This window comes from Homo sapiens, chromosome 12 (genome assembly GCF_000001405.40).
Source record: "Homo sapiens chromosome 12, GRCh38.p14 Primary Assembly".
Classification (NCBI taxonomy): domain Eukaryota; kingdom Metazoa; phylum Chordata; class Mammalia; order Primates; family Hominidae; genus Homo; species Homo sapiens.
This window is the reverse complement of record NC_000012.12, coordinates 8,913,843-8,939,233: the sequence shown is the minus strand read 5'-3', so window position 1 is coordinate 8,939,233 and position 25,391 is coordinate 8,913,843. Positions and strand designations below refer to the sequence as shown.

The following is a 25,391-nucleotide window of genomic DNA, read 5'->3' as shown; positions in this document are numbered from 1 at the left end:
CTAGCAATGATTAATTCCAAAGTACCTGTCCTAAATTCAGTAATATGAAGTCAGATGGCAAGCTTTAAAAGCAAAATGAAATTAGAAAGCAACTGGTATTTAAAAAATGGCCAGGTGCAGAGGCTCACGCCTATAATCCCAGCATTTTAGGAGACCAGGGCAGGCAGATCACTTGAGCTCAGGAGTTCAAGACCATCCTGGGCAACATGGCAAAACCTTGACTCTACAAAACATACAAAAATCAGCTGGGCATGGTGATGCATGCCTATAGTCCCAGCTACTCGGGAAGCTGAGGCAGGAGGATCATTTGAGCCCAGGATGCGGAGGTTGCAGTGTGCCAAAATTCATGCCACAGCACTCCAGCCTGGGCAACAGAGTAAGACTCTGTCTCAAAACAACAACAACAACAAAACCAAAGTCCAAGACCAAGAAAGGAAAAGCAACTAAATTGTTCAACCACAGAAATAACTTCATTCAAATAGCTTAGAGACAGGGGAAAGGGAGAGAACAGAAATAAAAGCATGTTTTCTTTTATACTGGCAAAAAGATTCTTTGTGATATTTTTGTTTAAGGGCCCAGAATTCAGACAAATAGCAAGAAGGGTAGGGTGATTTTCATTTCCGAAAAAAACTCTTTGTCAAAATTGCATATAGGCTGAGTGCAGTGGCTCACACCTATAATCCCAGCACTTTGGGAAGCCAAGGCAGAAGGATCTCTTGAGCCCAGGACTCCAAGACCAGCCTGGGCAACATAGGGAATCCCTGTCTCTGTTTAAAAAAAAAAAAAAAGAAGACTAGCAAACAAGCCCTCTTTGAAGAGTGGGGCAACAATGGCCACTTAGTTTCTAATACCCTGCTCCACTGAAAAAAAAAATTTTTTCCCCATGGGAGGTATCATAGTTAATTACACAAAAACATTTTATCCAAAAATTTAGTGAGAAATGCAGCTACATCATAAGATGAGAATCAAACACTGTAAAATTGCTGACATTACAGAAGATAATGTCAACCCAGAAAAAAATTAGGAAGTCAACTTGAATATTAGGAGTAGAGCCTCTATATTAGCATTCAAGCTCCTACTGCTTAAAAGTCAATTACTTTCCCTCTTATCAAGGCCCCTGTGGGATGATGTTAAGGAAAACAACCTGGGTTCTGTTGAAGAGAGGGTCAGTACCTTGGAGAGAAGCAATAAACTCGTACACCTCCTCTACACTCCAACGGCTGGGATTACTGGACAGGAACACAGGGTTGATGCCATGTAATTCCGGTGTAGGTGGAGCTGTATTGGGATTCCCCAGGTCACGTTCTCCATGCCCAGCTCTTACTGATAAAGGCCCAGGAGATGTTGGAGAGAGTGCTTCATCATAACTGGAATTATCTGAACCCCGGCTAGAGTCTTCTTGACCCTATAGGGGAAAAGAGCAAACCAATGAGGTCAGTGTCAAAGGTTTATTCCTCTCTCTTTCTTCCCAAACCACCCTGGGTTGGGCGTAGAAGAAAAACTCATCTTATCATATGTGAAATAAGCAGCACTTTATTTGCAAATTCCCAAAATCTACTCTCAAAGTCTTTCAAATAGAAACTGTATCACTTCCTTGATTCTCCCCATGACCTAACAATTGATCTAGATTTTCTCTCAAGTACAATTGAGAGAAATTGAGTACAATTGAGTACAATTAACAATTGTACTCAAGTACAGTGTAAGGATTAATGGAAACATGAACCAGTAGTTGGGTAAGAGGTCCGGAGACAAAGGGGGTCAGGATCTCTTGGAATTTGTAGTAATGCAATCAATGTGAAACCAGAGTTCTCATCTCACACCCTCTTACCTGGGCAAATGAATTGCCCTGCAGGGAAAGAAAAAAAGACCCAGTTTAAAGGCATCTGGCTCTACAACAAGCAGCTCACCCGGTGGCACTTGCCCTGAATCTTGGCACGGGCAATGTCAGAGGAGCTGCGGCGGGGTCCACGCCTGCGAACGCGAGCATAGTTGGCTTCTTGAAACTCTTTCATTTTTTTCCTCTTCAGCCGGAACTGATGGCTACAGCTCACATTGTACCTACAGGACAGGGCATATATAGGATGTCAATAGTGCCACAGAAGACCACCCTGCTCTAAATGTGAATTTCTGCTTATGAGCTGATTTGGGGAAGGGAATAAAAGCAAGGAGGGAGACATAAAATATCAGCTATGAGACGATCCTGGGGAAGGGGTGTAACATTAGATGGAGATACCAGTGCTGAGGGCAAGGAGGAGGGTGCCCAGAGTACCTCTTAGCGCAAGTCATGGAGCAGAACCTCTTAGAGCCACGAAACTGCTCTGCGGGGGCGTACTTCCCACAGTACTCGCACTTCAGGAGATTCGCCTTCTTATCTAACTCTAAAAAACAAGGTATTGCTGGACAGTCACCATGGGTTTCTGCTGCCCCTCAGGCAATCATTAGGCTCAGAGCTGGATTCTAAAATTATTCTCAGGGTTCACCCCCAAAAACCTACACAACCTAGTTGAGAATCCCTAAAACGCAAAGTTCAAAACCTAAAATCACGAAGACTTGTCCCTTGAGAACTTTATGACGTCTTCCTAACCTTAAGCCGAACTCTCTCCATTTTAGATGTCTTACTAATTTTATCCTAATTCATACTCTTAGATTTCAGATATGATTCAATTTCTGAGGAGAGAGGAACTACTAATGCCTAGAAAGATATAAGATCCTTCTACCACAAAGATTTCCAAAAGCAGTGGGAAAATCAGTAAGAGTCCTTAAGATAGATTATAAAATCTAGAATAAGGAGAACTGGAAATTAAAGATATAAATGTCCTATTTTAGATCATCTTTTGGAAAAAAAAATTTTTTTGAGACAGTCTCACTCTGTCACCCGGGCTGGAGTGCCGTGGTGCTATCTTGGATCGCTGCAACCTCCACCTCCCGGGCTCAAGCGATCCTCCCACTTTGGCCTCCCAAGTAGCTGGGACTACAAGCATGTGCCACAATGCCCAGTTAATTTTTATATTTTTTTGTAGAGACAAGGTTTCACTATGTTGCTCAGGCTGGTCTCAAACTCCTGAGCTCAAGAAATCCACCGGCCTTGGCCTCCCAAAGTACTGGAATTATAGGTGAGAGTCATCACACTCGGCCAAAAAATACATCTATAGAGTAAAGAATAATTCAAGGGCCAGGCGTGGTGGCTCACGCCTGTAATCCCAGCACTTTGGGAGGCCAAGGCGGGCGGATCACCTGAGGTCGGGAGTTGGCGACTACTAGCCTGACCAACATGCAGAAACCCCGTCTCTACTAAAAATACAAAAATTAGCCAGGCGTGGTGGCGCATGCCTGTAATCCCAGTTACTCGGGAGGCTGAGGCAGGAGAATCGCTTGAACCCAGGAGGCACTGGTTGCGGTGAGCCAAGATCCCACCATTGCACTCCAGCCTGGGCAACAAGAGCGAAACTCCGTCTCAAAAAAAAATAATAATAATAATTCAAAAGATTACTTTAGCTGGATAAATTCCCCTCACCTTATGTAATTCCTTTTCCGTGATTCTACATACTCTGATATATAATATGGTTTCTATATGTAGACAGACTTCATTTTATTCCTACTTTTTTTTGAGACAGAGTCTCGCTCTGTCGCCCAGGCTGGAGTGCGGTGGCGTGCAGCTCACTTCACTGCAACCTCCGCCTCCCAGGTTCAAGTGGTTCTCCCGCCTCAGCCTCCCGAGTAGCTGGGACTATAGACGCATGCTGCCACACCAGGCTAATTTTTGTATTTGTAGTAGAGACAGGGTTTCACTATGTTGGCCAGACTGGTCTCAAACTCCTGACCTCAGGTGATATGCCTGCCTTGGCCTCCCAAAGTGCTGGGATTACAGGCATGAGCCACTGTGCCAGGCCTCATTTCTACTTTAAATAAATAGGTAACTACTATTTTACACCGAGTCCTCAAACACATCTCCACGAGTCTCCTTCCCCCAAATGAGTCTCTAAATAAATGCTCACCAGCAGATGGGCTGTCCACTCCCAAAGGGCCACCTGACTGATTCTCAGTCAGCCCTGTCGGAAGGCCAGTCTGTAGTGGCTTCTCAGACTCCTTCAGTAACTGAGAACAACCCACCTGTCCCAGAAAACATTGAGAGTTAAGTTAGCCTGATCCCCTTCTGCTTCTCTATAGCTTTCCCCAACATTTCCCCATCAATTATGTCTCTGCTTGGATCTCTGAGTTAATGACCAAGTCTGGTTCAGAGAGAATCACTTTCAATACGGTAATCAAGAGTAGTAACTGGTCTCTATACAATGTTTGGAAATGAGAAAAAAAAAATAGTAACTGGCTTTTTTTCCAGATAAGCCATTGGAGAACAGGTTCCTACGCTGGCTCCCTATTTTGTCCTCTTCCTTCCTATGGTGCTGAGAATGCACTAGGAGTCAAGACACCTCAGTTCTAGTCCTGGTTCTGCAAACCCTAGGAAAGCTCCTTAACTTCATTACTATAATTTTATTCATTATAAAACAAACTAGTTTATCTAACTAAACATTACAGTTTTAAAGGTTACTTTCTTCCTTTTTTTCTCCTCTTCCTAACATTTTCATTTTATGGTCCACACACTCTTTTCCCTTTCCTTCTTTATAATTAAATAAATAGCGTAATTGAACCATTCTTTCATTAAATAGTTCTGTGCCTTTTACTTTTACTGGAGTTTGAAAAGACAACAATCAGACCAAGTCCCCACTTCAAAGTCCCACCTTATGGCCCTGCCCTCACCGGGAAAGGTTCTGCTCCTTCCTGGATAACAAAGCCTTCAATGATGTGGGTGAGAATCTGGGGCTTCACGATGGCCTGTGGGGGTTTTGAGTCACCCATTTGTCTAGACACCATGGCTAGTGTAGGAGGCGGTACTGAAGGGGCGGGGGTCAAGGCTACTAGTTCACTGCTTGGAGTATTAGCATTCACATTAGCCACTGATTCAGCTTTTTCTGGAAAACAAACACAGATTAAGCAACAGACATGAGATGACATATTGATCCATCTATTAGTTGAGCCAGCATGATCTTCCATAATAATCTATGTCCACCCTTGACAATTCACCTGGATTCCCTGTTTTTGGATCTATTCATTTGTCCACCAACTTCTGGCCCATTTTCTACTCAACCAGTTTTATCTTTTAGCTCACTCAGAACATTCCTCTACTCTGTGTGCTCTCCAACAGCATTAGAAGTCAGTTACTCACCTCCAAGACTGCTCTTCTCGTCCATGACTTTTGGGCTTTCTGCTACTGGAGATGCCTTGGCAGGAAGCATTGAACCCAATGTGGAGACATCATCTCTCTCCTCCTCAGAGTCAGCCTTGCGTTTGACAGCCAATGTCTGGGGTTTACCCTATACCGTAAAGAATAGGAAAGAAACAAAGATGTACAAATGAAGGATAATAAGGAACCACAATTATTACCATATGTTCAAAGAAAATTTTCTTAGTTCCAGATTTCCCAATTTATCTACTTCCCATGGTACACTAAAATTCCTGGTCATTCCTAGTAACTTTCCATCAGGACAAAAGAAAATGTAACATGATTTAGTCCTGACCTAGGTCTTGAGACCCTGTATTCACGTAGACCAACCAAGAACTGTTGTTTTTTCAAAGACTGATTTGGTTAAGGCTATCTTGATCTAACTTATTACATACCCAAAAACCCAGAATAGTATCAGCAACAAATTTAGGAGTATAAAGTTCAGATATTATATAATGTGTCACTCTCTTACAGAAGAAGCAGATAAATACCAATATTAACCCTCTTAACTCTTTATTCCCCTATTCAATTAAGCTCTATTTCCACTTAGCCCAGGTCCACTCTCATGCATAATAGTGCCCTCAAAACCATCAGACATCACTCACCGGCAAGTGCACAGACTGCATATAGAAGGCAGCAGGGACCTGGGCTACAACAGGTGAGGAGGTGGTAGCCCCACCCTTTACCACATGTGCTGTCCCCTGCACAGGAGCAAGGGTCATCCCAGGGGCCAATGTGGGAGGGCACTCCTGCAGTGCACCAGGAGCCTGGGATGAAGGTGGCGAGGAGGCCAAATGGGCCTGACCAGACTGCACTGTACCTGGCATCCCCCGGGAAGTAGGTACAGCAGCTGCCAGCTGTGCCAACCCCAAAGCCTGTGCCTGGGCTGTACCTGGCTGTCGAGTGCCTACAACTTGCACAGGGATATGGGGTGGTGGTTGCTGGGCAGCTGACATCTTAGCGGCCCCTAACTGAGGCGGCTTGATAGGTGCTACAGGTGGTTTGGATTGGATGGGAATTGGTGGCTTAGGGGCTGCATCAGGTGGAAGAGACAAGGGTGAAGACTGAAGCATGGGCTGAACGACCAGGGTTTGGGCTTGCTGCTGGGACTGGGAAGGTGGGACCTGCTGAGTAGGTGGGACCTGTGGTGGCTGAGGGGCAGTGAGGGTGGTGGCTTGCGGCTGCTGCTGTTGCTGCTGTTGCTGTTGTTGCTGCTGCTGCTGCTGCGCCAACTGGAGGTGTGTAGCTGTGTGAAGGAGCTGGGACTGCCGGTGCTGGAACTGCTGCTGGTGGTGGATGGCAATCTGCTGCTGGATCACCACCTGTTTCTGCTGGAGGTGGATCTGTTGCTGTTGCTGAATCAGTGAATGGGGCTGGATCTGTGTGTAGGTGGCTATAGGAACAATCCCAGAATACAACAGAGAGAAAAAAGAGCAGAGAATAATAATCATTCTAAATTAAAAGTAAATTCATTTTTCCAAGGTATAACCTAGTTTTGGAATTATGCGGTGAAAAGAAATCTAGTCAGTATGAAACTTGGACATCACTTCGTCCATACTCTTCCCACTCAATCAGACATTACCAACTACTACTAGTCTTAAAGATCTCAGAGAAAGAACTCCCTTGCTCAGTCATTTCAGATCCTGAGTAATTTCTTGTGTCTCTTATCTTTGCCATACTTAAATATTGTATTCTTTTACTCTGTACTCAGCAAAGAAGAATGGTTAGCCCCTCCTCCATTAGACTTGGAGTTTCTCAAAGGCTGAATCCATGTTTTATTCATTTTCACATCCCTAAAACACAGCCCAGGGCCTGACACTGCAGAAGCACTTAATATTCACTGAAAGAAGAGATACCCACAGAGTTAAAGATGTCAACGTCTTCCCACAAATGACTTGGATTTTACAAATCATCAGCTTAGACCACCATCTGAGTCTTGAGAGTCAGCACCTGTCAGCTCTGACCTAACTCAGTTTCCTCCACTGTAAACTGGGAGTGACAAACTCTACTTCTCCATATTGTACCAGATTGTCCAGAGATCAAAGCATGTGATGATAAAGCAATTTAGAAATAGAACTGCTAGAGTATATAAATACCAAGTATAGTAATAACTAACTCTTAATTTTTTTGTGAGTAAATTATCTAAATACATCAACAACTAAGGTACTAGAAACAAAAAAAGGCAAAAATCAACATGACCAAATAAGATACACACATCTAACTACATCTTACCCGCAGTCTGAAAGCAAGTATAAACTATCAGAGTCTTGCCCTGTCACCCAGGCTGGAGTGCAGTGGTGTGATCCCAGCTCACTGCAACCTCTGCCAACCGGGTTCAAGCTACTCTCCTGCTTCAGCCTCCCGAGCAGCTGGGACTACAGGTGTAAACCACTACGCCCGGCTAATTTTTGTATTTTTAGTAGAGACGGGGTTTCACCATGATGGCCAGGCTAGTCTCAAACTCTGACCTCAAGTGATCCACCTGCCTTGGCCTTCCAAAGTGCTGGGATTACAGGACTGAGCCACCGCACCCCGCCTCTCCATTAGTCTTAAGTGCTCTAAGGCATTGTACTGTATCTGCTATACACTGGATCAAGTAACCACATTAAACAGTGAGGTGAGAATTCATCCCTTATAGTAAATGCTAAGTTACATGAAGACAGGGAATCTACTTTTCAAAAATGTATCCCCAGTAATTCCTAGAAAACAGTAAGCAATTCAGTAAGATGTGATGAATGAATAGACAGAGTGATAAAACTGAAGAACTCACAGCCTAAGAAAGCGGACAGGGGAACTTGTAAGCTGACTACTGCCTGGTAGAAACAGATAAAATCTGTATCTGTCACTTGTCCTCCTGACCCTGAACTAATATGTTCAAGGCTGATATTATTCCCATTCCTTCCACTATTCAAGGACCAACAGAAGCGGGGAAAAAACAAAAAGGCAAAGAAAAAAAGGCAAAAAAAGAAAAAAAGGAAAATTTCACATGAATTCTGAGAGAATAATGACATGAGGAATGACAATTTACCTGAGCTAATAAGTGTCTGGCTGGGCGCAGGTGTGGCTGTCCGTGTCAGGTTCATGCCCACATTCTGCTGGCCACTCCCATCTGCTTCTGCCTTCTTGGCTGCTGCACTTTCTGCCTCTGTCTGGCTGCCCTGGCTCACAGTCACTGTTTGGGCTGCAGGCAAGGGCTGCACCACTCCTGTACCCTTTCTGGGACAGCTCCCACCACCCATTCCTGAGGAAGGCAACTGACCCAAACCACCATGTGCCTGCCCACCTCCACCTGGACCCATGGACCCTGGGATGCTATTCCCACTGCCTCCACCAGCTTGACTAAGGTTGAGGGACTGGTTTGTGGCCCCAGAGGAAGCCTGTGCCACCGCTAGGGCCTGGCTAGAGGCCTGGGAGAGGCTAGAGACAGGGGAGGCTCCTGGAGGAATGGCCTTCTGAGTGGAGCCTTGCATCTGAGGTCCTTGAGCTGAGGCCTGTTGATTCCTTACTGCCAAGTTCTGAACCTGAAAGATACGAAAAAACAGATTGAGAAAAGGAGGACTGGAGGCATTAAGGTTAAAGATTCAAAAGCAGCCAGGACTGCTATTGTGTCGTATTCCACAGAATACCTCAGCTCGTATCTCTGCCTTTACCATATACTTTAAGGCCTTCCTACCTCCTAAGGAGGAACTCTGGCTCTGTATCTGATTCTTCAGCCATCTTCACTCACTAGCAAGTTTATCATCAAGTGTGGTCTTTTATTCCTTCAAAATATCTCTTCAATTATCCCTTTCCTCGCCATTCAATCATTCAGCACCTCCCAAAAACCTACTATGCTTCAGGTACTACACTGGATACTGGAAATGCAGAGGAAAGACACAGTCTCTGCTCTTAATGATTACTTTCTACTACAGAAGACAAGAAAATTATCACTTATGACATAATAAGATGTATAGATATGCACCCAGTACCATAGGAGTACAGAGAAGGAATATCAACTAAGACTAGGGAGATCAAGGAAGGGCTTCCTAAAACAAGTGATACTGATGTGACACTCAGTAGGTAATGGTGAAGGTGGGGGTTTAAAGATATTGATAACAGCATTTGCAAGGCCAGAACCAAAAAAGGATTATTATTTAGGCTGGGCGCTATGACTCATGCCTGTAATCCCAACACTTTGGGAGGCCAAGACGGACAGACTGCTTGAGTTCAGGAGTTCGAGAACAGCCTGGGCAACACTGCCTCTACAAAAAAATACAGAAAATTAGCCAGGTATGGTGGCAAACACCTGTAGTCCCAGCTACTCAGGAGGCCAAGGTGAAAGGATCACTTGAGCCTGGGAGGCAGAGACTGCAGTGAGCTGAGATCACGCCACTGCACTCCAGCCTGGGTAACAGAGTGAGACCCTGTCCAGAAAAAAAAAAAAAGACATTATTTTAAAATATTATTAAAAAAAATGTATAATTTCTAAAAAGACTGTATTTTTAGAAATTATAAATATTTCATTATGTTTGGGGAGAGTTACAAGGAATGGAAAGAAATAAAGCAAGGAAGGCAGGCTGTGGATAAGGAGGTAGGAAGGTGCTGGGCCAGTAAGGGCCTGGTGTATTGAAACAAGGAATCTGAACTTTAGTTTGGGAACAGCAAGTTTATCTGTCTTATTCATTGTTATATTGCTAGCACCTTCACAGTTCCGGCACATAGTCAGTACTCCAAAATATGGATAAAGGGAAAGAATGATGTCTGCTTAACTGATTATAGGAAGCCAATAAAGCTTATTAATCAAAATAAACATTCACTTATACATTTATACATTTCTGATTGAAGTATAAATCAATACACTTCCTATTTTAGAAAATATTTGTTATCATATCCTAAAGTTGAACATTCACACACCCTCTAACCCAGGAATTCCACAAGACAAACTCTTGCCATGTACCACAGGAGGCATGTGTAGGAATGTTCATGGTGGCATTATTCATTAGCAACCACGACCTGGAATCAACTCAAAGGGCCATCTACAGAAGAGAAGATGAATAAACTATAGTATATTCATACAATGGAATAGTATATAGAAACTACAATTAATAAACTCCAATGACTGCAACAAAACAAATGGATCGTGACAATGTTATTAAGAAAGCACTCTCCAAAAGTGTACATACAGCACGAGTACCTTACACATTTCAATACAATTAAAATATATACATGGTGTCTGGGGTTTGCTTCAAAATATTCCACAGGCAGAGAAGGGCCTGAATGCATTGGTCATGTGTCGATAATTGTTGAAGCTGGATGGTAAGTACACAGGAATTCATACTTTTTCTGTTTTTGTGTACCTTTAAAATTTTCTATAATAAAAAGGGCATTTTAGAAACATAGAGAGATGCAATAAAACCATATAAAAAAGGACCCGAGGGAAGAATGGACTTAGAAATCAGAAGGCTCGTTACTGTGGGTAATGGAAGGCAGTAGACGGAACTGCACACTGCTTATTACATTATTAAAAATTACAGAGTAAATAAATTTTAACAGGTTATGACGAGACCAACAGTGAGAGAGTGTCATGATCCAAGGATTACAATTTTATCAAATTCTGTGTACCAGAAGTACGATTAAAAAATTAGTAGTAACAACATATATTTTCTTATTTAAAAAAACATAGTAAAAGTTTCCTGATAGTAATGTGGAAAAGAACTACAAGTAGGTTAAGACTGAAGTGAAGAAGACCATGTAGAAATCTAGTACAATAGGCCGGTGCAGTGGCTCACGCCTATAATCCTAGCACTTTGGGAGACCAAGGTGGGCAGACTGCCTGAGCTCAGGAGTTCCAGACCAGCAGGAGCAACATGGAGAAACCCCGTCTTCTACTAAAAATACAAAACATTAGCTGGGCATAGTGGCACGCGCCTGTAATCAAGCTACTCAGGAGGCTGAGGTACAAGAATCGCTTGAACCCAGAAGGCAGAAGTTGCAGTGAGCCGAGATCACACCACAGCACTCCAGCCTGAGCAACAGAGACTCTGTCTCAAAAAAAAAAAAAAAGAAAGAAAGAAAGAAAGAAAGAAAGAAAGAAAGAAAGAAAGAAAGAAAGAAAGAAAGAAAACTAGTACAGTACAGGTTAAAATAATAAAAACCTGAATTCAGGCAGGAGCAGTAAAGAGTTGATGGCTTTTGAGAGATATTGACAAGAATCATCAGGATTGGGTGCTAGAGCACATAATATTATCTGGCAATTATTAATATACAGTTTTTCCAATCAGCTTCATTTCCATAATGGCTATTTCAAACTTTCCCACTCTCTCCCTATACCTCAGACTACCTTCTCTTTCTCCTCCTACTCTTCACCTCTTCAGAGAAAACAAAAACCATTATATGAGCATTGCTTCATCAGTTCCACCACCGAATCTATACATTTATCTGCATACACACCCATCATTTCCCCCTTCTCTCCTCTTCCTATCAAAAGGCAATCAGTCCTTCTCTGCACTCTATATTCCACCTCCTCCTGCCATCTCAAGCAGCATATAATATCCACTGCCTCCTCTTCCACTTCTTCTCCACTGGCTCCCTCATCACCATGTAGGAACTGCACATTCCCCTCCCCAGTTCCACCTTCCTTTCCTGGTGCTGCTAAACTCTTAATAGCTGTTTACAGTCACTGTATTCATTCCCACCAGCCATTCACACCCCTCAAACTCATACTACTTTGGATTCACCACCCCCCAAACAACTGAAACAACTCTCCCTCCCTGTTAATAAAACCATCTTTCTTTCTCTCTCTACATTAGAAAGAGATGCCCCCTGCCCACGCATGCGCGCATGCACACATGCACATCTTGTAACATTTGGTTCCCTTGCCTTCGTGACACTACAGTCCAGATTTTCCTATCTGCTGCTCTTTCCCATTCGCCTCTGTCAGCCCACGACCCTCTGTCGACCTTGAACTGCTTTTCCAAAGTGGGGGTTCATCCTACCTCAGGGCCCCATATTAAACGTTCCTCTCCTCAACCTGTACTATCTCCCCAAACATTTTTTTTTTTAAGATGGAGTTTCGCCCTCGTTGCCCAGGCTGGAGTACAACGGCGCGATCTCGGCTCACTGCAACCTCCGCCTCCCAGGTTCAAGTGATTCTCCTGCCTCAGCCTCCCAAGTAACTGGGATTACAGGGATGTGCCACCACGCCCAGCTAATGTTTGTTATTTTTAGTAGAGACGGGGTTTCACCATGTTGATCAGGCTGGATGGTCTCGAACTCCTGACCTCGGGTGATCCACCCGCCTCAGCCTCCCAAAGTGCTGGGATTACAGGCATGAGCCACAGCGCTGGCCTTTTTTTTTAAGATGGAGTCTCCTCTGTTGACCAGGCTGGAGTGCAGTGGCACGATCTTGGCTCACTGCAACCTCCACCTCCCAGGTTCAAGTGATTCTCCTTCCTCAGCCTCCCAAGTTAACTGGGGCTATGGGCATGCACCACCACACCCGGCTAATTTTTTTTGTATGTTTAGTAGAGACAGAGTTTGACTACGCTGCCCAGGTTGGTCTCAAACTCCTGATCTCAGGTGATCCGCCCGCCTCGGCCTCCCAAAGTGCTGGGATTATAGGCATGAGCCACTGTGCCCGGCCTCTCCAGGCAATTTTAAAGACTGAGGAGAGTAAACTAATTTAGTAGATGGGGGACTTCAATTATCATCTATATGCCTACTACTCTCAAATGTTTATCTCCAACCCAGACCTCTCCTCTGAGCTCAAGAACCACATAATAAAACTGCAGTCTCAGTATCTCCTCATGGATGGCTCACAAACACTTCTAATTAGGTCTGCATGTCCAAAACTGAACGTCACTCTAAATACACTCCTACATTCTTCGTCTCATAAACAGCACCACCAGCCACCCCACAGATTTCCTATCTGGCATCTCCTTTAATTCCCCCATCTACTAAATTAGTTCACCCTCTTCAATGATTCTTCTAAGTTATCCTCAAATCTATGCATTTCTGTCCATCTCCATTGCTACCCCCAGTATGAACATCGTCTGTCCCTTAAACTGTTAGAACAGTTATTCTCCCTACAGTCACACTCACACCATATCCGTTTAGTCTCCAAAGAGGAAATCAACATGGTATTTAAAAAGCAAAACAAAACAAAAATACATCCAAATCTCTCTATGACACTTCCATATTTAAAATCCTTCTATAGCTTCCAATTGCTTTTTATAAAAAGCCCAAAATCCTAAACACAGCCCCCAAAGCCCTGAAAGATAAGGTTCCTCCTACCCGTCTAGCCCCACTATGCCAAACTCCAAGAATACAAGACTTTTAATTCCTCTAACAAATCAAGTTCCTGCCCTCCTCAGGACCTTTGGACACACTGTTCTCCTGCCTCCAACACTCTCCTTCCACATTCTTATCTGGCTAACTTCTACACACCCCAAGTTAAATGTCACCTCCTTGACTTTTACACCCCATGCCAAAGCTAAGTTAGGTCCCTTTCTAAATTCTCAGAACACTCGGTACTTTCTCAATTATTTCCCCATTCAGGTGACTATCAGTTTAATGTCTGGTGTTTCAATGGTCTGTGAGCTCCACAAATGCAGTGATCGTGACTTTCTTGGGCATCCAACGCTAAGGAATGTTTGATATATTAATAGCAGTAGTTTCTCCTAAACACTCACTACGTCCAGGCATTCTTCAAGCAGTCAAACGCAGCAACTCACTTAGTCCTCACAACACATCCTGAGGTAGGTATATTACAATACCTATTTTACAGATGAAAAAAACGATAACAGAAAGATGTCAGATCATTTGCACAGGGTCACACAGTAAGTAGTGGAGCTGGAATCTGACCCATCAGATGCGTATTTTTAACTACTGCCCTCTGTTCCTCCACATATTGACACTCAAATATCTGATGAATGAATGAGCGGATAAATCAAAGAACTGGATATGGAAATGGAACCAACCTCACTCGTGGCTCCCATTGCTATCACCAGAGTCTAAAACAAAGACTTGCCTTACAGCTAGATGACCACAAGAGTTTCTTAGCAAGTTCCCTAACTTCTCTTCTCCAGGAACTGTTAGAACAGTTATTCTCCCTATAGTTCTTCCTAAGTACTTTCCTCATCTTGTTAATCTGCTGTTCAATAGCTAGCAATGATCCCTGTGACCTATGAAGTTAACTACAACCTCCTTTATATGCTCTACCCCAGCAATGACCTCTTCTATCATCATGCCTGTTGATTCTATTTTATTTATCCCCTCATCTCCAACGCCTACCACACATACTCGTATTTAAATATATGACTATACTCTTACGCTTGCTGTTCTCTCTCTAGTTTTCTTCTCACTCCAAATCAAATCCACTCGTCCAAGACTCTGCTCAAGTATCCCAATAAGGCATTGCAAAGTAATGTAACCAATTCTTTTCCAAACTCATGTGTCACTCAAAGTTAGCACCATTTAGTTTAGCACTTTCTTTTTGTTTTGGAGACGGAGTCTCACTCTGTCGCCCAGGCTGGAGTGTAGTGGCACGATCTCAGCTCACTGCAACCTCCACCTCCCAGATTCAAGCAATTCTTCTGTCTCAACCTCCCTGTAGGTGGAACTACAGGCACACACCACCATGCCCGGCTAATTTTTGTATTTTTAGTAGAGACAGGGTTTCACCATATTGGTCAGGCTGGTCTTGAACTCCTGACCTCAGGTGATCCACCCTCCTCAGCCTCCCAAAGTGCTGAGATTACAAGAGTGAGCCACCATGCCCAGCCTAATTTAGCACTTTCATTGTCTAAGCTCTTTGAAGACCTGACTCACATTTATTTTTTAATCCTGCAAAATTTCTAATACAATTGTTCCTTGGTATCCACAGGGGATTAGTTCCAGGCTCATGGACATCAAAGTCTGCAGACACTCAAGTCCCTTTTATAAAACAGAGCAGTGTTTGCACATCATCTGTGCACATAGCACATCTTCCCATACACTTTAAATCACCTCTATTACTTATAATATCTAATACAATGTAAGTACTATGTAAATGGTTACACGATGCTGTATTTTTGTATTATTTTTTGTTCTTGTATTGTTATTTTTAATTGTTTTTTTGCCCAAATATTTTCTTTTTTTTTTTTTTTTTGAGACGGAGTCTCGCTCTGTCGCCCAGGCTGGGGCACAGTGGCATGATCTCGGCTTACTGCAAGCTCCGCCTCCCGGGTTCATGCCATTCTCGGGCCTCAGCCTCCCAGGTAGTTGGGACTACAAGCACCCACCACCACGCCTGGCTAATTTTTTGTATTTTTTTAGTAGAGACGGGGTTTCACCATGTTAGCCAGGATGGTCTCGATCTCCTGACCTCGTGATCCACCCGCCTCGGCCTCCCAAAGTGCTGGGATTACAGGCGTGAGCCACCGCGCCCGGCCTTTCCCAAATATTTTCAATCTGCAGTTGGTTGTATCTGCAGATGTGGAAGCCAGAGATGCAGAACCTACAGGTATGAAACCCATAAACAGGGAGGGCCAAAAGTACATGAAGGAAGAACTCAACATTTACCAGCTTACTGATAAATAAACTAAAAGGATGAAATAATTATCGTAAGATCCTAGGTTGTGTCCCATCTATAAGAAGCTAAAATTCCAGGCTCAAAAATACATGTATTTTGGGAATAAGTCATGAGAAGTAATGGTGAGGAAGACCTTTACTGGGAAAAAACAGTGAACAGGAAGAGAAGACTGAAAGTTGAGAACTAGAGTAACTCACAAACAGAAGCAACCAAACATTCCTCCAGTAACTCAGCCAGGTCAGCTTTACATCTAACTAACAGAAGAATTCTCTCAACAATCTCTTCTCTTCTGACAGTACTATGAGAGAATTAAGACTCTCCGAATAAAACAAACCCACAGAGGACTAGAAGGATGGTGAGGAAATTTACCCTATCTTGAAAATAAGACTTCCCAGATCCACAAGACTATTTTCAGGCAAATCTCCTTGTCTTTCTAACTCAGATTAACTCAAAGGTTATATGGGATTCAAGTTCTATGGTGATTAAGGGAAGGAAAAACAAAACACAAAAAGTAAGAATTCTGAAAAGTGTAATGGGGCAGAAGGGTGGACCCAGGTCCGTGGTCATTCCCTTCATCCTGCCCAGTGCCCACCCACAGGTAAAGTCATCGCCACTAACCTGATCTGCATCTGCATGAACTCCAGGAGACTGAGCAGATGGCACCTCCTGCTGGACTGCAGCCACCGCCCCATTAGGCATCAGGATGAGTTGGGAGGCTAGAGGCACATTCCGACCCAGGGTTCGGTTTACCTGCAATAGGTTTCCCAGCTGTGGCTGGCAAGGAGAGGAAGAGGAAGAGCAAAGAGGACAAGAGGGAAAGAAGAGACAGAAGAGATGGAAAGGAAGGACCACAAGACAAAATAAACAGAAGATATTAAACAGCTGAGCCCTGCCTCTTCCACACCAACCCAGGAGCCTCATATTCTCCACATGTAATGAACCATCCAGAAGAAAACCTAGAATGCATAGAAAACTACAGATTGATGTCCAAGAGTCACACGTCAAAGAAATAGAGAAAATTAGGATTTTAGAACAAGTACTTATATATAGAAAGTAGGTAGGCTGAGCGATAACACAGAATTTGTATACTTGAGCCACAGGTTTAAAGGTCGACTATATCTAACACTAATTTAGTCAAATGTTAAGCCAGTATTTTCTAGCATAATATCTCAATTTAATCTATAGGCTACCTGTGAACACAGAACATCACTTCCAGGTTAAGTAAAGTATGGGAAGTAGGTCCCAGCTTCTCTCAAAACATCAGGGTTACCATGGTTTAAAAAAATGGCTTTTGGCCGGGCGCGGTGGTTCACGCCTGTAATCCTAGCACTTTGGGAGGCCGAGGCGGGTGGATCACCTGAGGTCAGGAGTTCCAGACCAGCCTGGCCAACATGGTGAAACCCCGTCTCTACTAAAAATACAAAAATTAGCCAGGTATAGTGGTGCATGCCTGTAATCCCAGCTACCTGGGAGGCTGAGGCAGGAGAATCGCTGGAACCTGGGAGGCAGAGGCTGCAGTGAGCCATTATTGTGCCACTGCACTCCAGCCTGGGTGACATAGCGAGATTCTGTCTCAAAAAAAAGCTTTCACTCAAGTCTTTGCCAGGGCCAGACAATTATGCCTCTGGGGCAATGGTGACTGCATCTGTGGCTTACCCGTAGATACATCTGGGCCTGAGACTGGTTGAGGGGTGGGGAGGTGGTGTTCCCCAGTAGCACAGATTGGGTCAAGGTGGTAGCACTGGGAGAGCTCACACTCTGGGATCGGCTGATGAGCTGGGCGGCCGATGTGGTGGCCAGATTGATCTGTGTGGTACAGAAAGGAACCAGGACTAAGGATTTGGGAGAAGTAAAAGGAAAGGTACGTGACTGACAAATTCAGAGTCACACAGTCAAGAACAGAGTATTTCACTTTCATGGAGCCGGGGGAAATAAATAATGTCTTCATATCCAAAACTGTCATCCTGGCTACTTTAGGGTATTACCAAAGTGAAAAAAAACCAACAGTCTCTAACCACTAGTGTTAACAGTTGAGAAGACAAAAGATTGAAACAGAACAGATTTTACTTCTCATTGAAGAGTCCAGGGATTAGTCCCCTTCTTTGTTATCTCCTCTTCTTCCCCAGGATTTTCTTTCCTCTCTTCCTTAGACTTCCTCTTTAGAGACTCCAATATAGATTAATGTTGGTTACTTTCCCCTTGTACTACTATTCTCTACTTAAAAGCAGTAACTATCCACTGACGGCTCAATAAACACTCTCAGATCAGCGGCACAAAGTAATTTAACCCAGAGACAAAGACCCAGGTAGAGAAGCCTCTCAGTGGGAGAGGGCGTACTCACCGAGGCCTGGGTGGTGGTAGTCTGCTGCTGTGTAGTGCTGGTGTTTGGGGAGCTGGCCTGCCGACTGGCAGCAATTGTGGCCTATTAAAGGGGAAGGGAAACAAGAAATAGCAAAGACAGTGAAGGAAAAAGCTCTCAGTCTTCTAGTAATAAATCACAAGCACAAAACATAGAGATTTCACATTATAAACAGGGAGATTCCACTTTAGGGTAAAGAAAAGTATATTCACTAGTCCAGTGATCCTCACATTACCACATATGCTAACCAATTAGCCCCACATAACCCTCCTGGGGCAGAGAGGCAACTTGTCCTCCAGCTCCCACTCTCTTTTAGGTGGAAAAAGATGGTATTTTTTTTGAGAAGGAGTCTCGCTCTTTCACCCAGGCTGGAGTGCAGTGGCATGATCTCCGCTCACTGCAACCTCCGCCTCCCAGGTTTGAGCGATTCTCCTGCCTCAGCCTCCAGAGTAGCTAGGATCACAGGTGCACACCACCACGCCCAGCTAATTTTTGTATTTTTAGTAAAGAATGAGTTTCACCATATAGGCCAGGCTGGTCTTGAACTCCTGACCTCAAGTGATCCACCTGCCTCAGCCTCCCAAAGTGCTGGCATTACAGGCGTAAGCCACCACGCCCAGCTAGAAAAAGATCTTTTGGTCAGGTCATATCATGAGTCAGTAAAAGTCTAGTCCAGAGGTATCCAATATAAATATAATATGAACCACATTTATAATTTTCTACTATGCAAAGTTTTAAAAAGTAAAACAGGAAAAGTTAACTTTCATAATTTATTTTATTTAGCCCAATATAAAATATCACTTCACATGTAATTAATATTTTTAAATTACTGATATTTTACCTTTTTTTGTACTAAGTAGTCTAACTCTAAAATCTTATAGGACGTCTCCATTTAGACTAGCCACATTTCAAGCACTCAATAGCGATATGTGGCTAGTGACTACGTTATTAGACAATGCAGGTCTATAACACAGCCACTCTATACCTAAAAAGTGATTTTACGGTTCTTACTGCAACCCCAGAAGCTAAGATGCATCCATCCTCCCACAGAAGGACAGGAGGCGGAGGAGGCTGTCTGCAGCCTGGCTTAGTATAGGATGCTATATGCCCAAAAAATCTCCCCTACCCACCTGTAGTGCCTGTCCCCTCCCTCTCGGGCCAGCTGGCTGCTGACCTCTCACCTGCTGGACGGCAGCCAGGCTATGCAGCTGGGCATTACTGAGCTGCTGCTGGAGCATGAACTGGTGGAAATACTGAGCTGCATTGGGCTGCCGCTGCAGTGCTTGCAGAGCCTAGGAAAAGAGAGGATAAAACATTTAGAATGGACCACTCCTAGCTCCTATTCTATGTAAATCACTGTATTTGTGTGAAAGGGGGCCATGGGAAGGACAGAAACCAGAGGAGATGGGAGTTTGGGCTAAATCGTCAACGGCTGATTTTCCTTCATTTTTTTAGAGCAAAGTCAACCTGCTCTATCACCAGGCTGGAGCACAGTGGCGTGATCATAGTTTACTGTAACCTCAAACTCCTAGGCTCAAATAATCCTCCTGACTGCCTCAACCTCCCAAGTAGCTAGGACTATAGGTATGCACCACCATGTCCAGCTAATTTTTTTTATTTTTAGAGATGGGGTCTTGCTATGTTACCCAGGCTGGTCTTGAACTCCTGGCCTCAAGAGATCTTTCTGAGCCAGGCGTGGTGGCTCCTGCCTGTAATCCCAGCACTTTGGGAGGCCTAGGAGGGCAGATCACCTGAGGTCGGGAGTTCAAGACCAGCCTGGCCAACATGGTGAAACTCCGCCTCTACTAAAAATACAAAAAATTAGCTGGGCGTGGTGGTGGGCGCCTGTAATCCCAACTACTAGGGAGGCTGAGGTAGGAGAATTGCTTGAACCTGGGAGGCAGAGGTTGCAGTGAGATGAGATTGCGCCATTGCACTGCAGCCTGGGCAACAGGAGCGAAACTCCATCTCAAAAAAACAGAGAGATCCTTCTGCCTCAGTAAGTCTATATAGTCCTTTAAAAACCGGAAGAAACAATTACAGCCATGCACCACATATCCACTGTTTGGTCAATGGCAGACTACATACACAGGAGTGGTCAGAGTAACAGCCTATACTGTATAACCTAGGTACGGAGTAGGCTACATAATCTGGGTGTGTGTAAGTGCGCTCTATGACAGTCACGCAATTACAAAATCGTCCAACAATACATTTCTCAAAACGCGTTCCTGTCATTAAGTGACGCGTGAATGTAATTCTATGGTTTATTCTCCATAGGATGTTAAGAAAAGTAAAGCAGTGCAATTTATACAAACTTGTTTCTCCAATTGGGAGCTGGAAATACATGCCATAGCAAAGACTAGATCGGGTGAAAATAAACAAAATGCCGATTAATGTAAAGAAAATAAGAAAAAAAGCTGGGCATGGTGGAGTGTGCCTATAGTCCCAGCTAGTCAGGAGGATAAGATAGGAGAACTGGGAGTCTGAGGCTGCAGTGAGCACTGATCGCACCACTGCACTCCAGCCAGGGCAACAGAGCTAGACCTTGTCTCAAAAAAAAAAGAAGAAAATGTAAAAGTATATTTTAGGTATACAGTAAAGGTAATACAGCCCTAATGGGTTGGAAATAATGAAAAAATAAATAGTGGCTTCTAAAGATTCCTTCACGTAAAATTTTCAACGAATTCAACTAATTGGCATTTTTACATATCAGTATGCTAATACAGATTTATGAAATGAAAATAGTAGTTTGGTTTTAGTGCTAACTGGACTTTACTGTATTCTTATTCTTTAATAATTAGAACTATTTTTATGATATGTATAGTTATTCTAGTAACCAAAATATTTGCTAAAAGACCTCATTTCCTAACAGAATTAATAAAAACATGGAATTTGCTGTTTGTTTAAAAATAAATCTCTAAAGAGTTCCATGATACTTCTATTACTCAAGGGGATTTACAAGAATGGCCAAAGATTAAAAACCTGGCAATCCAGTATGAGAAAGGGTTAGTTAGAATCTAGCTAGATGGACTGAATGTGTTTTTTAAATCCTTATTTGAAAGACCAGATTTCACTGTTTGCTTGCCTAAACATTTGTAAACTCCTAAGATTCTCAGAGCTGGAAGACAGCTTAGTCATCATCTAACCCAACTCTCCCCAGTTTGTTGAAAAAGAACTGAGTACAATTATTTTCCAGCATCACTGCCTACCACAAGCCAAGACTCACAGACCATGGCCCCTCAGAGCTGAGTCTCACCTGCACTGCTTGTCGTTCATAAAGTGACATTTGAGCTATCTGGGGCCGAGAGCTGCCCCCTGAGCTAGAACTCCCATTGGTGGAATTGGAGTTCTGCTCGCTCTCAGTCTCCATGATAGTGGTCCAGGGTCCCCAAGGCTGGTGCTCTGTCTGACTCAAGACCTAGAGGGAAGCAGTAAAAGGTTAAAATTTATATCTTGATCCCAAGCTGTTATCTCATGTTATTATTCAAAAACACAGGAAATCCATAAGTATCTAAGAATCTTCCTCCTCTTCCATAAGCCATGATTTCTCATCTTAAAACTCCCAAATCTTCAATACACTCTTGCAACCATGTCTTCCCAATACTACCATCTTTTGAAGCTATGCAGTCTCAAAAGAAACAACCTTTACGTATTCCCTCATGGCTGTCATTAAATAAAACGGCCAGAATGTGAGATGGCACCTTACAATACCAAAGTTACCTTACATTCCCATAGCATTTTTTAACAGTTTAAAATCTTTCCACTTAAAAGTTTTGGTTATCTCATTTTTGTCTCCATCTGCATCGTTATCATCCAAATGAGTCACCATATACTGGAGAGCCACTAGTTGCCTCCTTTCACTGGGCTAGGCACTTCACCTATGCTGTATCTCTCTCATAGTAGTGCTGTAAAGTCAACACTGTTATCCTCATTCTACAATTTGAGACATAAGGTTTTCTGAGGTTAAAGAAGTTGCCCTAGTAAGTATCAAGTCTTTGGACTAACACATGCTTCTTCAAACCAAACTGTAATTAAGGCAGTGTCATTCACTATGATAGTGAGTAGTTATCCTCATTTTATGGAGGAGGACCTTAAGATACAGACACATTCAGTGGGTCATGGAAGGTCATAAAACTAGGAAGCAGAAGAGCTCACCTACAGCCCACATAGCCCAAATAGCTGCCTGGTTCCAGCTCAGGCTACTAATAACACCTCAGGCATGTTGCTTTCCTTCCTTATACCTGTTTCCTCACTGCAAAGGAGGCTTCATACTGAATGTAATATATCATTTTAAGAAATGACTCCGGAGTATGAAACATAGAAATACACACAATGAAAATCTTCAAGAAAGTAAGATGCAACTTTATAATCTACTAACATGTCAGAATTTACCCACTGGGGACTACACTTACATTTGCAAAAAGACACATATGAAAACACTGCTAAGAACCAAGCAAAGAGGCAGGAGATGAGAAGAAGAAATATTCTTCCAAAGCAGCACTAAATGACAATAAGGTTTTTACTCATTCTTTTTTTTTGTTTTTCTCTTTTGTTAAGCTACACACTATTTTCTCTACTTCTGAGGCACTGGGCCACTAGAAATATCAGGTCACCAAAATATTATCTGGCTTAAGAATATAAACATCAAACCAGAATTTCTGCTAAGTGTTGTCAACAGTTTCATTAGGGTGAATGGACTGGTCTTAGGGATTGCATCCAAAACAAACAAACAAGCAAAGTATCAAACTGCTTGGCCTTGGCAATAAAGCTGAGGATATTTCTTATTATCTCATTCCCAGTATCATCCAATCACACTATTATCCCCCCCCAGTCTTTAGTTTCATTTAGGACTAGCAAATGTCACTGCAAACATGTATATTACCCAAAAAGTACATAGGAAAAATCATATCAGCTTCAACTAGTCTACCTTCTCCCCACATCTTTTGCCAAAATATCAAAGCACTAAACAGATACAGACCCATGAATCCTCATTATCAGCATGTGAAGAAAAAAAGTGGGTAAGGATTAGAGGCAGCACGGCACAGTTTTATAGATTACTGGATTTAGTTCACTGGACTCAGAGACACGAGACCCCTTTGCTAGGTATAGAGAACATAATTCCTACATTCACATGTGAAAATACAAACCGTATGACCCCTCGTCTTCCCAAACCTGAATTCTGATTAATAATTTTTTTTGGATTGTGAACTAGAAATAAAAATGTAAAGGGACCAACTTAAAAGTCTCAATAAAATCAAGGGAAACTGCCACCAAAACCAGGATTCCTGGATCCCGGGCACATAAATGTATTCATTTGTGATCAACATTATGACTACAAGATTAAATATAAAAAATGGAGACAACAAACAGTTTGGGCAGCACCAGGTATCAAAATTTTCCAAATTAAACTGGAAGACAGTGAGAAGCTGATCCACAGATGCCCCCAGAGTAGCTAAGCCATGGTCATCTTAAAAGGTAGCATGTGGGCATACATGGGGTTGGGTAGGCGCACAGACCTACCGAAGGGAGTTAGAATGGGACATTGAGGTGGACTTAGCATTGGGCCGAGAGTTGGAGAAAGTCAATATCCCTAAGCACGAAACTCTTATCATGCAGAAAGGATGGGACATAGGAAGGGGGACGGGAGAAGGGGGTGGTTCAGGGAAGACTGTGCCAAAGACACGGTAATAATCAAGAGAACAGGGAGTAGACGCCCAAGGGTCCTCGTTCTATATAGAACCTTGATGAAAATGATGTTTCAAAGAGAAATCAAATACACTGGGGGAAGGGGGTGGATCCAGTGGTGCGCCGGGAATGAACTGACCCAAGTGAGCTGGGACATGTGCATACAGAGAGCAGAGGCAGAAGTCAAGGAACTGGAGGCTGAGGAACCCAGCGGACCACGAAAGCAGGGAGATAACTAGACAGCATGCTCGGCTGGAAGGACCAAAGTCAGAGAAGGAAAAATGAATAAGAAAATGAGCAGTCAGAGGCAGCTAGGGTGACGGACAGACAGCATGAAGCGCAGCAGAATGAATAGCCAGAAGACTCGGACAGGCAGAGCCGAAGGACCGCAGAGCTCAGCGCCGGAGGTAGGCAGGGAAAGCAACTGGGGGAGGTACCTGGGGCGTTACACAGATGGAGGTGGCTGAGGATACATCCCCGCGCAGCCAAGCCCCCAGAGGTCCTGCCCCTCCCCGGCCCTCGGTCGCCCGGTTACCTTCTCGCCTGGCTGTGCACCCAAGTCTTCCCCGGGGGCGTCCACCTCATGTGCCGGGGTCCCCAGTCGCCAGGCTGGGCTGGGGGCTCGCTCGGCCTCCGCGGCGGGCTCCCCTCGCCTCCTCCCCTTCCTGGAGGGGCGGGGGCGCCGAGGGCGGGGTGGGAGGCGCCCGGCGCGACCGCGGCTCCCCGCCCCTCCCGCCGCTCCGGGTGCGGGCCCGGCCGCGGCTCAGCCAGGCCTCCGGGGCTCGCTCCGGGCCTGTCACTTCCTGCCCGGCCGAGAAGGTGGGGGCCGCAGGCCAGGGGCTGCGGGCCGGGCTGGAGGAGGGGGCTGCGGGGAGGTGCTTCCGGGGCAGCCGGACCCCCCCCCCGCCGTCCCTCCGCCTCCCCTCGGCGCCCTCCGCCCCCTCCCTCCCGCGCGTCCCTCGTTTCCTGCCGGCGCCCGTTGCCATGGCGACGCAGCTCCCGGGCCTCTGCGCTCCAGGCCCAGGGGTTTTTTCCTCTCTTGCTCTCTTTCTCCTCTTTTTTACCCCCTTCTTTCTCTCCGAGTTCTGCTCGCCGGTTGGAAGGACGAAACTAAGAAAGTGCTGGCCTCTAGTGGGGAACGCACCTCTCGGAGAGGAGAGGGAGATGGGAGAAGGGAGGGAAGTGACGTGAGACGGGGAGAAAGAAGGTATTTTCTGGAGCTGCTGGGAATAAGGGGTAGAAAGAAAGGATCAAAGGGACCAACAGACAGAGAGGGAGAAAGAGCAAAGCAACGACCCCTAGAGAAACGATAGACTGGGAAAAGAAATGAAGCAAAGGAAAGGAAGGAAAAGGCGAGAAAAACTTTGAGAATGAGAGAAAGGAGAGAGAAGGTTGATTGTTTAATCCCTCACCTCAACTCCAAGAAGGCGGGAAAGAATGCTGCAGAAACAGCTAACCCATTAGGAGTTGACTTCATTTTCAAAGCAGCAACCTAATGTAACTTCCTTTGGATAGCATTT

The 25,391-nt window shown here is 44.2% G+C and overlaps 1 protein-coding gene across 25 annotated transcripts in view, besides 3 other annotated features; it reads right to left on the bottom strand.

The window, feature by feature from the left end:
- The window catches only part of PHC1 (polyhomeotic homolog 1), a 27,625-nt gene extending 2,234 nt beyond the window's left edge, over nt 1–25,391 (bottom strand). For 2 of the 25 annotated variants that reach the window (NR_182209.1, NM_001413738.1), the window contains exons 1-14: nt 25,284–25,391; nt 21,443–21,604; nt 19,368–19,478; nt 18,169–18,249; nt 17,484–17,633; nt 16,446–16,601; nt 8,307–8,799; nt 5,884–6,671; nt 5,222–5,369; nt 4,756–4,967; nt 3,996–4,110; nt 2,270–2,378; nt 1,908–2,058; nt 1,174–1,405 (exon numbers count right to left, since the gene is read on the bottom strand). Coding sequence is in view for 24 of the 25 variants with exons in the window: in NM_001413738.1 (NP_001400667.1) it covers nt 1,174–1,405; nt 1,908–2,058; nt 2,270–2,378; nt 3,996–4,110; nt 4,756–4,967; nt 5,222–5,369; nt 5,884–6,671; nt 8,307–8,799; nt 16,446–16,601; nt 17,484–17,633; nt 18,169–18,249; nt 19,368–19,478; nt 21,443–21,556 (2,860 nt within the window). In the remaining variant the exon portion in view is untranslated. Of the gene's footprint in view, nt 1–1,173; nt 1,406–1,907; nt 2,059–2,269; nt 2,379–3,995; nt 4,111–4,755; nt 4,968–5,221; nt 5,370–5,883; nt 6,672–8,306; nt 8,800–16,445; nt 16,602–17,483; nt 17,634–18,168; nt 18,250–19,316; nt 19,479–21,442; nt 21,605–23,164; nt 23,630–23,706; nt 24,298–24,406; nt 24,726–25,283 lie in introns of those variants that run through there. The other 23 variants (NM_001413744.1, NM_001413745.1, NM_001413746.1 and 20 more) reach the window with 23 other exon arrangements.
- Nucleotides 24,274–24,563: a silencer, noted in NCBI's record as "silent region_4220". NCBI's record gives its function as "represses an Ori minimal core promoter by ATAC-STARR-seq in GM12878 lymphoblastoid cells {active_cell/tissue: GM12878}" and the evidence as "EXISTENCE:reporter gene assay evidence [ECO:0000049][PMID:35858748]".
- Nucleotides 24,634–24,683: a silencer, noted in NCBI's record as "silent region_4219". NCBI's record gives its function as "represses an Ori minimal core promoter by ATAC-STARR-seq in GM12878 lymphoblastoid cells {active_cell/tissue: GM12878}" and the evidence as "EXISTENCE:reporter gene assay evidence [ECO:0000049][PMID:35858748]".
- Nucleotides 24,734–24,843: a silencer, noted in NCBI's record as "silent region_4218". NCBI's record gives its function as "represses an Ori minimal core promoter by ATAC-STARR-seq in GM12878 lymphoblastoid cells {active_cell/tissue: GM12878}" and the evidence as "EXISTENCE:reporter gene assay evidence [ECO:0000049][PMID:35858748]".